Source organism: Homo sapiens, chromosome 12 (assembly GCF_000001405.40).
Source record: "Homo sapiens chromosome 12, GRCh38.p14 Primary Assembly".
NCBI lineage: Eukaryota > Metazoa > Chordata > Mammalia > Primates > Hominidae > Homo > Homo sapiens.
Window position 1 is genome coordinate 7749553 of NC_000012.12, and position 15524 is coordinate 7765076.

A 15524-nucleotide genomic window follows, 5' to 3' on the forward strand; every position below is an offset into this window, starting at 1 on the left:
TCAACGAAAAAAAAAAGAGAAAAAAAAGATTTTGTGGGCCTTCAGGGAAGTGAAATCTATTAGCTTGAGGACCAGGTGGAGTGCAGCTGGCCCAGCTGAGATGGAAACTGGCTGAGTGAGAAACAGAAATATTTTTTTTTTTTGAGATGGAGTCTTTCTCTGGTCACCTAGGCTGGAGTGAGTGCAGTGGCTAAATCTTGGCTCACTGCAACCTCCACCTCCCGGGTTTAAGCAATTCTCCTGCCTCAGCATCCCGAGTAGCTGGGACTACAGGCATGCGCCACCACGACTGTCTAATTTTGTATTTTTAGTAGAGACAGGGTTTCTCCATGTTGGTCAGACTGGTCTTGAACTCCCAACCTCAGGTGATCCGCCCACCTCAGCCACCCAAAGTGCTGGGATTACAGGTGTGAGCCACAATGCCTGGCCATTTTTTGTTTTTGAGACAGGATATCAGTCTGTTGCCCAGACTGAAGTGCAGTGTCTCGACCTTCACTCACTGTAGCCTTGACCTCCTGGGATCAAGTGATCCTCCCACCTCAGCCTCCCGAGTAACTGGGACTATAGATACACGTCATTACACCTGGGGATCTTTTAAATTTTTTTTGTAGAGACAGGGTCTCGCTATGTTATTTCCCAGGCTGATCTCGAACACCTGGGCTCAGGTGATCCTCTTGCCTTGGTCTCCCAAAGTGCTAGGATTACAGATGTAAACCAGCATGCCTGGCCGGTGATGCTCTTTTAACATGAGTACCCAGTGTTTGGAATCAGGACAGGGCATCAGTTAGGTTTTGCTGTATAATCAATTAACTTAAAACTTAAAATACACAGCTATTCAATTAGTTCATAGTTCCCGAGAGTCAGCAATTTGGGCTGAACACCACTGGGTGATTCTGGTTTGGATTGGATCGGATCGGTTCCATCTCAGCTGAGCTCACTCTGCAATAAGCTGGTGGGCTGGGTGGGGCTGGCTGATTCACGTCTCTCTTTGGTCATCCTCTAGCGGATTAGCCTGGATTTACGTACATTGTGGCAGGAGGATTCCAGTAGTAGCAAGAAAACAAACCCTATTGTGTACATGCTTTTAAAAACCTGTGTGCCAGGAAATCACCAAATCACTCCAGCTATAACATTAAAAGACAACCACTCTCTTCCACTTAAAACTTATTGGCTGGCCACAATGCCTCACACCTGTAATCCCAGCACTTTGTGGGGCAAAGGCAGGAGGATTACTTGAGGCCTGGGCAACATAGTGAGACCTTCTCTCTACCAAAAAAAAAAAAACAAACAAACAAACAAACAAAAATTAGCCAGGTATGGTAGCATGTACCTGTAGTCCCAACTACTTGAGGGGCTGAGGTGGGAGAATCACCTGAGCCTTAGAGATCAGGGCTGCAGTGAGCTATAATCAAGCCACGGTGCTCCAGCCTGAGTGACAAAGACCCTACCTCTAAGATAAAATAAAAACCAAGAAGAAAAAGAAACCTCCCCAATATGTCAGTATTTACGCCTTCAGAAAAAGATTTCTATGTGAATAATGTTATATATTTGCAACATATTATCAAGCAAAGAAACCAGTAAGAGGCCAGGCACAGTGGCTCACACCTGTAATCCCAGCACTTTGGAAGTGTGTGGCAGGTGGATCACCTGAAGTCAGGAGCTTAAGACCAGGCTGCCCAACATGATGAAACCCCATCTCTGCTAAAAATACAAAAATTAGCTTAGTGTGGTGGCACTAGCCTGTAATCCTAGCTACTCAGGAGGCTGAAGCAGGAGAATCACTTGAACCCAAAGGCAGAGATTGCAATGAGCCGAGATCGTGTGTCCAGAATTGATAGGTTCTTGGTCTCACTGACTTCAAGAATGAAACCACGTACCCTCGCGGTGTTACAGCTTTTAAGATGGCACGTCTAGAGTTACTCGTTTCTCTCGGCGAGCTTGTGGTCTTGCTAGCTTCAGGAGTGAAGCTACAGACTTCCGCGGTATCACAGCTCATAAAAGAACCGTGGACCCAAACAGCGAAAGAACAAAGCTTGCACAGCACAGAAAGCAACTCGCAACCGGTTGCAACTGCTAGCTCGGGCAGCCTGCTTTTATTCTCTTATCTGGCCCCACCCACGTCCTGCTGATTGGTAGAGCCGAGTGGTCTGTTTTGACAGTGCGCTGATTGGTGCGTTTACAAACCTTGAGCTAGACATAAAGGTTCTCCACGTCCCCGTCAGATCAGTTAGATACAGAGTATCCACATAAAGGTTCTCCAAGGCCCCACCAGAGCAGCTAGATACAGAGTGTCGATTGGTGCATTCACAAACTGAGCTAGACACAGGGTGTTGATTGGTGTGTTTACAAACCTTGAGCTAGATACAGAGTGCCTATTGGTGTATTTACAATCCCTGAGCTAGACATAAAGGTTCTCCACGGCCCCACCAGACTCAGGAGCCCAGCTGGCTTCACCCAGTGGATCACTGCACTGGGGCTGCAGGTGGAGCTGCCTGCCAGTCCGCGCCCTTGCGCCCGCACTCCTCAGCCCTTGGGTGGTCGATGGGACTGGGCGCCTTGGAGCAGGGGGTGGCGCTCATCGGGGAGGCTCGGCCGCACAGGAGCCCATGGCGGGGGAGAGGTGGGAGGCTCAGGCTTGGCGGGCTGCAGGTCCCGAGCCCTGCCCCGCGAGAAGGCAGCTAAGGCCCGGTGAGAAATCAAGTGCAGCGCCGGTGGGCTGGCACTGCTGGGGGACCCAGTACACCCTCTGCAGCCGCTGGCCCGGGTGCTAAGCCCCTCATTGCCCGGGGCCGGCAGGGCCGGCCGGCTGCTCCGAGTGCGGGGCCCGCCAAGCCCACGCCCACCCGGAACTCCAGCTGGCCCGCAAGCGCCGCGCGCAGCCCCGCCTCTCCCTCCACACCTCCCTGCAAGCTGAGGGAGCCGGCTCCGGCCTTGGCCAACCCAGAAAGGGGCTCCCACAGTGCAGCGGTGGGCTGAAGGGCTCCTGAAGTGCCGCCAAAGTGGGAGCCTAGGCAGAGGAGGCGCTGAGAGCGAGCGAGGGCTGTGAGGACTGCCAGCACGCTGTCACCTCTCAATTGCGCCACTGCACTCCTGGGTGACAGAGGGAGACTCTGTCTCAAAAGAAAGAAAGAAACCAATGAGAAAAGCAGTCCTTAGGGTTTAAGATTCTATTTTATAGCTAGCCAGGTGGAGATATTGGGCTTGTGTAAGAGGAAGTTAGTGGTCAGACCACGCAGGGTGAAGTGAGAGTTTAACTTATCCAATAGCAGAAAGAGCCATTAAAGGCACTAAAGCAATGTGGTGAAAGGATCAGATTATATTTTTTTATTTATTTATTTTTTGAGACAGAGTCGACAGAGGAAGACTCCGTCTCAAAAAAATAATAATAAAAAAAAAGTCCAACTTTGAATGTATTGTTTGCAGAGGATGAAGTGGCAAAAGAGACAAAGAAGAATATCCAGAGAAATAGGAAAAGTGAGTGTCTTAGTCCATTCAGGCTATTATTATTTTTTTTCTGAGATGGAGTCTCGTTCTGTCACCCAGGCTGCAGTGCAGTGGCACGATCTTGGCTCACTGCAACCTCCACCTACCGGCTTCAAGTGATTCTTCCGCCTCAGCCTCCCCAGTATCTGGGACTACAGGCGCATGCCTCCACGCCCAGCTAATTTTTGTATCTCTAGTAGAGATGAGGTTTCACCATGTTGGCCAGGCTTGGTCTCGAACTCCTGACCTCAGGTGATCCACCCACTTTGGCCTCCCACAGTGCTGGGATTACAGGCATGAGCCACCAGGCCCGGCCCATTCAGGCTATTATAAGAAAATACTGTAAACTGGGTGGCCAATAGCAGCTGCAATTTATTTCTCACAGTTTTGGAGGCTGGAAAGTTCAAGATCAAGGCACTGGCAGATTTGGTGTCTGGCAAAGGCCCACTTTCTGGTTTATATATGGCTCCTTCTTGCTGTGTCCTCACATGGTGGAAGGGATGAGCCAGCTTTCTGGGGTCTTTTATTATAAGGGCACTAATTTCACTCATTTGGTTGAACCCTCATGACCTAATCACCTTCCAAAGTCCCCACCTCCAATACTATCACCTTGGAGGTTAGGATTTCAACATATGAATTTTGGGGAGACACAAACATTCAGACCATAACACCAAGTGTCAAGAAAGCCAAGGGGGCCGGGCGCGGTGGCTCAGCCTGTAATCCCAGCACTCTGGGAGGCCGAGGCGGGCGGATCATGAGGTCAGGAGATGGAGACCATCGTGGCTAACACAGTGAAACCCCGTCTCTACTAAAAATACAAAAAATCAGCCGGGCGTGGTGGCAGGCGCCTGTGGTCCCAGCTACTCAGGAGGCTGAGGCAGGAGAATGGAGTGAACCCGGAAGATTGCAGGCATGAGCCACCGTGCCTGGTAGTTCTTTATCACTTTTAGCATCTATTTCATTTTAAAAATCTGATTGATTTTTAAAATGCTACTACTAAATTTTGGCTTTCCCTAAAAAGAAGCACCAGGGCTCATGGACAGCATGTATTTTTTAGAATTTTTAAATCAATGAGGAAATGAAAGCCAACCTCAAAAATGAGAAGCAGAAACTTCCAGTTTGGATTGTGGCTTAAATAGCTTGTGGCAGACCAATTGTTTGCTGAGACCAACCAGGAAAGCTGGATCAATACAAAAAAACTATTAGGAAGCATCAGAGAGGCTTCCACAGAACAAGGAATTTCAGGAGCCAAGACCCTAGAGAGAGAGAAAGCTGGACATGGCATCTGCTGGCTCTTCAGCAGTGACTGAAGGACTGAGTGTCTGTGCAGTGTCTGTACAACTGGGAGGCTGGTAACTAAATAATAAAACTTTAGACAAGGACTCCTCTATGAATAATGAAGAGCTGAGAATGGACCTTTTTTTTTTTTTTTTTTTTGGAGTAAGGGTCTCATTCTATTGCCCAGTCTGCAGTGCAGTGGCCCAATCTTGGCTCACTGTAACCTCCACCACCTGAGCTCAAGCCATCCTCCCACCTCAACCTCCCAAGTAGCTGGCACTACAGGCACACACCACCATGCCCAGTTAAGTTTTGCATTTTTGGTAGAGATGGGGTTTCACCAGGTTGCCCAAGGTGGTTTCGAACTCCTAGGTTCAAGCGATCCGCCCACCTTGTCCTCCCAAAGTGCTGAGATTACAGACATGTGGCACTGTGCCTGGCCCAAGAAGAGACTATTAATTCATAAAGAATGAAATCCAGTTTGTTATATATTTATTTATTTATTTATTTATTTATTTAGGACAGAGTCTTCCTCTGTTGCCCAGGTTAGAGTGCGGTGACCTGATCTCAGCTCACTGAAACCTCTGCCTCCCAGGTTCAAGCGATTCTCCTCCATCAGCCTTCTGAGAAGCTGGGACTATAGGTGCGCGCCACCACTCCTGGCCAATTTTAGTATTTTTAGTAGAGACGAGGTTTTACCACGTTGGCCAGGCTGGTCTCAAACTCCTGACCTCAGGTGATCTGCTGGCCTTGGCCTCCCAAAATGCTGGGATTACAGGCGTGAGCCACCATGCCCGGCTATTTTTTTTATTTTTTTATTTTTGAGATGAAGTCTTGTCTGGCTCTGTCACCCAGGCTAGAATGCAGTGGTGCATTTTAACTGATTGCAGCCTCCACCTTCCAGGTTCAAGCAATTCTCGTGCCTCAGCCTCCCAAGTAGCTGGGATTATAGGCATGAGCCACTGCCCAGCTAATTTTTGTATTTTTATTTTTATTTATTTATTTATTTTTTAGACGGAGTTTCACTCTCGTCGCCCAGGCTGGAGTGCAATGGCACGATCTCAGCTCACCACAACCTCCGCCTCCTGGGTTCAAACGATTCTCCTGCCTCAGCCTCCCAAGTAGCTGGGACTACAGGCGTGCGCCACCACACCCAGCTAATTTTTGTATTTTTAGTAGAGACGGGATTTCACCATCTTGGCCAGGCTCCTCTCGAACTCCTGGCCTCATGATCCACCCGCGTCGGCCTCCCAAAGTGCTGGGATTACAGGTGTGAGCCACCGCGCCCGGCCAATTTTTGTATTTTTAGTAGAGACAGAATTTTGCTATGTTGCCTAGATTGGTCTCAAACTCCTGGACTCTAGGTATCCGCCCGCCTCGGCCTTCCAAATGGCCTGTAACTTCCATTACAGGCGTTAGCCACTGAGCCTGGCCTAAAATTTTGAAATTAGTTTTGAACAAACTCAATGCCTGTTTGAATCAAGGTAAAATCTACTTTAACTCCGTCTGCCAAAGCAAAAGCAAAAGCAAAAGCAAAAGTAAATTGTCGGCTGGTCGCAGTGGTTCACACCTGTAATTTCAGCACTTTGGGAGGCAGAGGCAGGCAGATCACCTGCGGTCAGGAGTTTGAGACCAGCCTAGCCAACATGGTGAAACCTTGTCTCTACTAAAAATACAAAAATTAGCCAGGTATGGTGGTGTGTGCCTGTAGACTCAGTTGCTCAGGGAGGCTAAGGCAGGAGAATCGTTTGAATCCGGGAGGCAGAGGTTGCAGTGAGCTGAGATCGTGCCACTGCACTCCAGCCTAGGCAACAGCGAGACTCCATATCAAAAAAAAAAAAGTAAATTGTCTCTGGAAAAAAAAGAAGATTGGCCGGGCGTGGTGGCTCACACCTGTAATCCCAGCACTTTGGGAGGCCAAGGCAGGCGGATCACCTGAGGTCAGGAGTTCGAGCCGGAGTATGAGCTTTCATATTAAAAGAAAGTCTGAGTGTGGTGGCTCATCCCTATAAACTCAGCACTTTGGGAGGCTGAGATGGGAGGGTCGCTTGAGGCCAGGAGTTCAAGATCAGCCTGGGCACCAAAGTGAGAGCCCCATCTTTACAAAAAATCTTTTAAAAATAGCAAGGCGAGATCAGGCGTGGTGGCTCACTTTGGGAGGCCGAGGCAGGAGGATCACCTGAGGTCAGGAGTTCAAGGCCAACCTCACCAACATGGCGAAACCCCATCTCTACTAAAAATACAAAAATTAGCCAGGTGTGGTGGTGCATGTCTGTAATCCCAGCTACTCGGGAGACTGAGGCAGGAGAATCACTTGAACCCAGGAGGCAGAGGTTATGGTGAGCCGAAATTTTACCACCGTTGCACTCCAGCCGGGGCAACAAGAGCAAGCCTCCACCTAAAAAAACAAAAAACAAAACAAAACAAAACAAAAAACAGGTGAGATGGCATGCACCTGCAGTCCCAGCTACTGGAGAATCTGGGACGAGAGAATTGCTTGAGCCCAGGAGTTCGAGGCTGTAGTGAGGTATGATGGTGTCACTGCACTCCAGCCTGGGCAATAGAGCAAGACTCCATCTCTAAAACAAATAAACAAAATGAAACAATATTTTCTCTTAACTTTAGAAACATTACATTTTCACCATGGAGAATGTAAATAATACAAAAAGTGAAAAGAAAAAATGAAAAACCACCTGCAATTCAATTACTTAGAAAGAACCATCCTGAACATCTTGTTTTTCCTTTTAGTCTTCTTAGCTGTAAACATGATATAATGTTTATATTACCATATACCTTTTTACAGGCATCAAGAGAGGCATGGAATTAAAAATGAGACTGCCCCAGGCACATGTGTAGGCGTGGAGTCTTGACCTGAGCATTCCATTTGTGGTTGAGACAGAAATGGAAGATTCAGTGCTGCCTCAGCAGGTGAGTCTCAGGGTCTAAAGGAATGCCTTTCAACAGAGGACTTTTATCAAGGAACAATTCGCAATTCCAGCACAGGCATATTTTTTGAAAGCCTATCTCCCTCTCTTCCTTCCTTCCTTCCTTTTTTTTTTTTTTTTTTTTTTTTTGGTTAGTTTCAGACATTAGGTTACTCTCTATGGGAAAGTTTACATCTTTATTGAAAACAATATTTTAAAATTCTTTGATATAAAAATACTGGGAGGCCAGGCGCGGTGGCTCGCACCTGTAATCTTAGCATTTTGGAAGGCCAAGTTGGGCGGATTGCCCGAGGTCAGGAGTTCGAGACCAGCCTGACCAACATGGTGAAACCCCATCCCTACTAAAAATACAAAAATTAGCCGGCATGGTGGCGGGCGCCTGTAATCCCAGCTACTTGGGAGGATGAGACCGGAGAATCGCTTGAACCCGGGAGGTGGAGGTTGCAGTGACCGGAGACCGCACCACTGCACTCCAGCCTGGGCCACAAGAGCAAAACTCTGTCACAAAACAAACAAACAAACAAACAAACAAACTGGGAATGCCTCTCTGCAAAATGGATCTCCAGAAATGTGTATTTCATATTTAGAAACTGCTAGCATCTGGAACACCAGGACATTTTCTCAAGTACATGTGAAAATACATTGTCAGCCGGGCTCGGTGGCTCAAGCCTGTAATCGAGGTGGGCGGATCACGAGGTCAGGAGTTCCAGACCAGCTCGGCCAACATGGTGAAACCCCATCTCTACTAAAAATACAAAAATTAGCCGGGCATGGTGGTGCGTGCCTGTAATCCCAGCTACTCGGGAGGCTGAGGCAGGAGAATGGCTTGAACCAGGAGGCAGAGGTTGCAGTGAGCCAAGATCGCGCCACTGCACTCCAGCCTGGGCGACAAGAGTGAGACTGCGTCTCAAAAAAAAAAAAAAAAAAAAAAAATCAGGCTTTGCTGGGTTTCCCCACTCAGTCTATTACCATTAGGTCGTTCCCTTTTTGTCCAGTCACATTTCTACACAGCTGTCCATTCTTCAGAGAAGCTAAGCATAAAAACAGACACTTTTTTCCTGAGTTTTTCGATCTTCATCTCTGAAGATTCCTTTGTCAAGTAAAACTTGGATTAGATAAATTTGTTATGCTTTTCTCTTGTTAATCTGCCTTTTGTTATTGGAGTGTCCTCCTGACTCTTACTATCAGGAGGAAAGGGATCACACCCTCTCCGCCCCTACACAGACATGCAAATTTTTGAGCCCCGCGTGTGAATTACTGAATCAGAAATTCTGGGGTGGGACCCAGGAACCTCATTTCAACAAGCCTTCCTGGGGATTATTATGCATGCTGAACTCTGAGAGCCACTGGCAGGGAGGGGGAAGGGGAAAGGCGGGTAGAATGCTTTCCAGAGGATATAGGGTTTTGCCATTTCAATAATTCCTATGGTTGTTCCTCTCCAATAGAATAGCTGTAAAGAGCTTCCTAAGAAGAAAAATGTACTAGAAAATCACTGTGCCACCTCCTTTTTGTGTCTACCCTTTAATCAGGTCATTGTTAAGCAGATTTGTCAAATTATTCAAAGCAGGTTTGAATAAATGTGTTGTACAGAGACTTCAGGGGGTTTATTTATCTGCGTTTTGGCAGGATTTCCCCTGTGGCTGGAAAGATTCAGATGCGCCTTCTTTCTTTCTTTCTTTTTTTTAGGCAGTCTCGCTCTGTCACCCAGACTGGAGTGCAGTGGCGCAATCTTGGCTCACTGCAACCTCCGCCTCCCGTGTTCAAGCAATTCTCCTGGCCCAGCCTTCCTAGTAGCTGGGATTACAAGTGCACGCCACAACACACAATGCCCGGCTAATTTTTGTATTTTTCGTAGAGACAGGGTTTCACCATGTTGGCCAGGCTGGTCTCGAACTCCTGACCTCAGGTGTTCTGCCCACCTCGACCTCCCAAAGTGCTGGGATTACAGGCGTGAGCCACCGCGCCCGGCCCCCAGATGCGCCTTCTTTCATCGCTTACCTGTACTGTTGTTCTTTTTCACTTTGGAAATGTAAAACCATCTATTAAGTATAGTTAATAGATGGTTATTATTCTCAAACAGCTAGGTAGATCAGAACAGAAATACCACACATGATTCTCAAATCCTCCAGGACAATCCTTCTCATTTCCCTGGATGACATCTTTCTTACTTTTGAGATTTGTAATCAGACAGGCTTTCTTCCTCTCCTGGCTCTGCCACTTAACTAAGCTGTGATCTACAAGTTACTGCCCTGCTCTAAACTTCAGCTTCGCAGTTGGTTCCATAGCTCAGGGGTTAGAGCACTGGTCTTGTAAACTTCAGCTTCCTCATTTATAAAATGAGGACTTGAATAATTTCTATCTCATAGGATTAGTTTAAGCGTTAGAGAATATTTATTTTTATTTATTTATTTTTTGAGACGGAGTTTCGCTCTTATTGCCCAGGCTGGAGTGCAATGGTGTGATCTCGGCTCACTGCAACCTCCACTTCCCAGGTTCAAGTGATTCTCCTGCCTCCCACTCCTGAGCAGCTGGGATTATAGGCGTGCGCCACCATGCCTAGTATTTTTAGTAGAGATGGGGCTTAGTAGAGATGGGGTTTCACCATGTTCGTCAGGCTGGCCTTGAACTCCTGACCTCAGATGATCTGCCTACCTGGGCCTCCCAAAGTGCTGGGATTACAGGCGTGAGGCACCGTGCCCGGCCGACAGGGTCTGATTTCTAGAAAATCCAAATCCTGAAAACACACTGACACCCACCCCCCACATCACACACACACACACACACACACACACACACAAACTAAGGTCCCTTGCAATCTCAATCACTATCCCTGCAAAATTCAGACTCGCAAGAATGAAAGCCACACTCCATTTTCTCCATTTGTTTGTAAGGTTGGTTCTGCACAGACAGATGAAACTACTTCACCCTGCAGAACTGCTCTATTTTCAGTGCATTTTATTTACCTGGATCCTAAGGACCACTGTCTTCACCGGATTAGTCACCTCTGGGTCAGGTCCTTCTTCCATTTGAGATTTGAAACCAAACAGCTTTGTTCCTTTTTAGTTTTTGCCACTTTCTAAGCTGTGTACCTAAGACATGTCACTTACCCTCTCAAAGTGTCAGCTGGTTTATACACAAAACGGGGGAATATGTGATGTAGCTATCATCATAGGCCTGAAATGTCCATTTCAGTTCTTACTAGTCTAAGCCTTCTCTAGCCTCTGCTCCATATTCTCTGCCAAGGGTTAAATCTCTATTTTCTTTTTTTTTCTTTTTGAGATGGAGTCTCACTCTGTCGCCCAGGCTGGAGTACAGTGGCGCGATCTCGGCTCACTGCAAGCTCTGCCTCCCAGATTTACACCATTCTCCTGCCTCAGCCTCCCAAGTAGCTGGGACTACAGACACCCACCACCACGCTCGGCTAATTTTTTGTATTTTTAGTGGAGACGGGGTTTCACCGTGTTAGCCAGGATGGTTTCAAACTTCTGACCTCGTGATCCGCCCATCTCGGCCTCCCAAAGTGCTGGGATTACAGGCGTGAGCCACCACACCTGCCCAAATCTCTATTTTCATAAGATGCATCTGCAAGGGAATAAAATACTCATCAGAGCCTAATTGCTTTTGGATAAGGTGAACTTGGAAGGGTTAGAACAGGAGCATATTATTCTCTGTCGATAACTGTCCCTTTAACCTGTTCTGTTGACTTGCCTTGCCCTGACCCCAGAGGAAATCTCAAGCAGATCCCAGAGCCTTTCCAGTCTCTCTTGCTTCCTAACAAATAATTACCTTTATTTAGGTATTTAAAAATCCATTCTCAGCCGGGCACAGTGGCTAATGCCTGTAATCCCAGCACTTTGGGAGGCCGAGGCAGGAGGATCTCTCTCTCTCTTTTTTGGGGGGACGGGGGGCGGGAATGGAGCTTCCCTCTTGTTGCCCAGGCTGTAGTGCAGTGGCGCGATCTCAGCTCACTGCAACCTCTGCCTCCCAGGTTCAAGCCATTCTCCTGCCTCAGTCTCCCAAGTAGCTGGGATTACAGGCATGAGCCACCAAGCCAGGTCTCTGTTTCTTTTTTTTTTTTTTTTCTTTTTATTTGAGACGGAGTCTCACTCTGTCGCCCAGGCTGGGGCACAGTGGCGCGATCGAGGCTCACTGCAAGCTCCACCTCCTGAGTTCACGCCATTCTCCTGCCTCAGCCTCCCCAGTAGCTGGGACTACAGGCGCCTGCCACCATGCCTGGCTAATTTTTTTGTATTTTTAGTAGAGACGGGATTTCACCATGTTACCCAGCCTGGTCTCGAACTCCTAATCTCAGGTGATCCACCCACCTCAGCCTCCCAAAGTGCTAGGATTACAGGTGTGAGCCACCGAGCCCAGATTTCTCTGTTGCTTTTTTTTTTTTTTTTAGAGAGGGAGTCTCGCTTTGCCGCCCAGGCTGGAGTGCAGTGGCATGATCTCGGCTCACTGCAAGCTCCGCCTCCCAGGTTCACGCCATTCTCCTGCCTCAGCCTCCCGAGTAGCTTGGACTACAGGCACCCACCACCACGCCCGGCTAATTTTTTGTATTTTTTAGTAGAGACGGGGTTTCACCGTGTTAGCCAGGATGGTCTCGATCTCCTGACCTTGTGATCTGCCCACCTCGGCCTCCCAAAGTGCTGGGATTACAGGCGTAAGCCACCGCGCCCGGCTTTTTTTTTTTTTTTTTTTGTATTTTTTAGTAGAGACTGGGTTTCACCGTGTTAGCCAGGATGGTCTTGATCTCCTGACCTCATGATCCACCCGCCTCGGCCTCCCAAAGTGCTGGCATTACATGCATGAGCCACCATGCCCAGCCCTTTTTTTTTTTTTTTTAAGACAGAGTCTTGCTCTGTCGCCCAGGCTGGAGTGCAGTGGCCGGATCTTGGCTAATTGCAACCTCCACCTCCCAGGTACCAGCAATTCTCCTGACTCAGCCTCCTGAGTAGCTGGGACTACAGTTGCGTGCCACCACACCCAACTAATTTTTTTTTTTTGGAGATGTACTCTTGCTCTGTCACCCAGGCTGGAGTACAGTGGCACAATCTTGGCTTACTGTAATCTCTGCCTCCCAGGTTCAAGAGATTCTCCTTCCTCAGCTCCTAAGTAGCTGGGATTACAGGCATGCGACACCACACTCTGCTAATTTTTTTGTGTTTTTAATAGAGACGGGGTTTCACCATGTTTGTCAGGCTGGTCTCGAACTCCTGACCTGATGATCCACCTGCCTCGGCCTCCCAAAGTGCTGAAATTACAGGCGTGAGCCACTGTGCCCAGCCTAATTTTCGTATTTTTTAGTAAAGACAGGGTTTCACCATGTTGGCCAGGCTGGTCTTGAACTCCTGACCTCGTCATCTACCTGCCTCGGCCTCTGAAAGTGCTGGGATTACAGGCGTGAGCCACCGCACCCGGCCTTCTCTGTTGCTTTTGAAGATCTCTTCCCTATGAGTGCCTATTCCCCGAATTTGCTTTTTGGGAACTTATCTCTTACAGCTGGCCTGTGGAACTCCCTCCTCAGCCCCCAGCTTCTGATGTCCGTGTTCCTTTCAAGAGGAGCTGCTAGGATGGAAGACCTGTAAGGCCATAGGCAGCAACTCTAATGTGCCCAGGACAGCTCAAAAGCAGCCCCTATCAAATGTTTACTCCCCTAGCTTACCTGCATCTGAGGGGACTACCAGCGACCATGACGAACAGAGACCTCCTGTCCACATTTAGCCACCGTGGACAGCTCCTGATTGCCTCTCACTTTTCAACATTGTCATGCTTGAGTCAGGTGTCGGATCCTGGGTATCCCCAAACACAAAAGTCAAACTTTGAGTGATTTTTTTTTTTTTTTTTTTTGAGACAGAGTCTTGCTCTGTCACCCAGGCTGGAGTGCTGTCGCGTGATCTCAGCTCACTGCAACCTTCACCTCCTAGATTCAAGCAATTCTCTTGCCTTAGCCTCTGGAGTAGCTGGGATTACGGGGTGTGCCACCACGCCAAGCTAATTTTTGTATTTTTAGTAGAGATGTGATTCCACCATGTTGGCCAGGCTGGTCTCGAACTCCAGACCTCAAATGATCCGCCTGCCTCAGCCTCCCAAAGTGCTGGGATTACAAGCATGAGCCACCGCACTCGGTCTTCAGTGATTCTTTAAAATTCTCTTCTCTGCCGGGCGCGGTGGCTCACGCCTGTAATCCCAGCACTTTCGGAGGCTGAGGCAGACGGATCACGAGGTCAGGAGATTGAGACCATCCTGGCTAACATGGTGAAACCCCGTCTCTACTAAAACTACAAAAAATTATTAGCCGGGCGTGGTGGCGGGCGCCTGTAGTTCCAGCTACTTGGGAGGATGAGGCAGGAGAATGGTGTGAACCCGGGAGGCGGAGCTTGCAGTGAGCCAAGATCATGCCACTGCACTCCAGCCTGGGTGACAGAGCAAGACTCCGTCTCAAAAATAAATAAATAAATAAATGAAATGAAATAAAATAAAATAAAATTCTCTTCTCTTAGCTGAGATTAACGAAGTGGTTAACAAGTGGTTAACAAGTGGTTTCTTCTACCAGAGTGTGAGGCTGGTTGTGTGACCAGGTAAGAGTATAGTCGGAGGCCAGGCACGATGGTTCATGCCTATGATCCCAGTACTTTGGGAGGCCAAGGCAGGCAGATCGCTTGAGGTCAGGAATTCCAAACCAGCCTGGCCAACATGGAGAAACCCTCATCTCTCCTAAAAATACAAAAAATTAGCTGGGCATAGTGGCACTTGGTTGTAATCCCAGCTACTTGGAGCTGAGGTAGGAGAATCACTTGAAACTGGGAGGTGGAGGTTGCAGTGAGCCGAGATCACACAAGTGCACTCCAGCCTGGTGACAGAGTAAGACTCTGTCTCAAAAATAAATAAATAAATAAATAAATAAATAAATAAATAAATAAATAAAATGGGCTGGGCAGCGGTGGCTCACACCTGTAATCCCAGCACTTTGGGAGGCCAAGGCAGGAAGATCACCTCATGTCAGGAATTCGAGGCCAGCCTGGCCAACATGGTGAAACCCTGTCTCCACTAAAAATACAAAAATTACCCGGGCGTGGTGGCAGGTGCCTGTAATCCCAGCTACTCGGGAAGCTGAGGCAGGAGAATCGCTTGAACCTGGGAGGCGGAGGTTGCAGTGAGCCAAGATTGCACCATTGCACTCCAGCCTGGGGGACAAGAAAGGAGACTTCGTCTCAAAAATTAAAATAATAATAATAATAATAATAATAATAATAATAATAATAATGGAATCAGGGGTCTCACCGTGATGCCCAAGCTGTTCTTGAACTCCTGAGCTCAAACAATTCTTCTGCCTTGGCCTTCCAAAATACTAGGATTACAGATGTGAGACACCTCACCCGACCAAGTAGCATTTTCATAAAATATTTATGTATTTATTTATTTTTAACATGGAGTCTCACTGTCTGTCCCCGAATGGAGTGCAGTGGCAGTATCTTGGCTCACTGCAACCTCTGCCTCTTAGGTTCAAGCGATTCTCCTGCCTCAGCCTCCAAGTAGCTGGGATCACAAGCACGTACTTCTACACAAGCTAAGTTTTGTATTTTTAGTAGAGATGGAGTTTTACCATGTTGGTCAGGCTGGTCTTGAACTTCTGATCTTAAATGATCTGCCCGCCTTGACCTCCCAAAGTGCTAGGATTACAGGCATGAGCCACCACGCCCAGCCCTACATTTTTTTTTTCCTGTCTCTCCACTGTATTTTGGAAAGCATTTTCTTATCAGTATATCTCACTATTTGGGACACTCTGCAACATGTAAATTGAACATTTTTCAT

At 47.8% G+C, this 15524-nt stretch overlaps 1 annotated feature.

The window, feature by feature from the left end:
• Nucleotides 59-138: an enhancer, noted in NCBI's record as "active region_5922". NCBI's record gives its function as "activates an Ori minimal core promoter by ATAC-STARR-seq in GM12878 lymphoblastoid cells {active_cell/tissue: GM12878}" and the evidence as "EXISTENCE:reporter gene assay evidence [ECO:0000049][PMID:35858748]".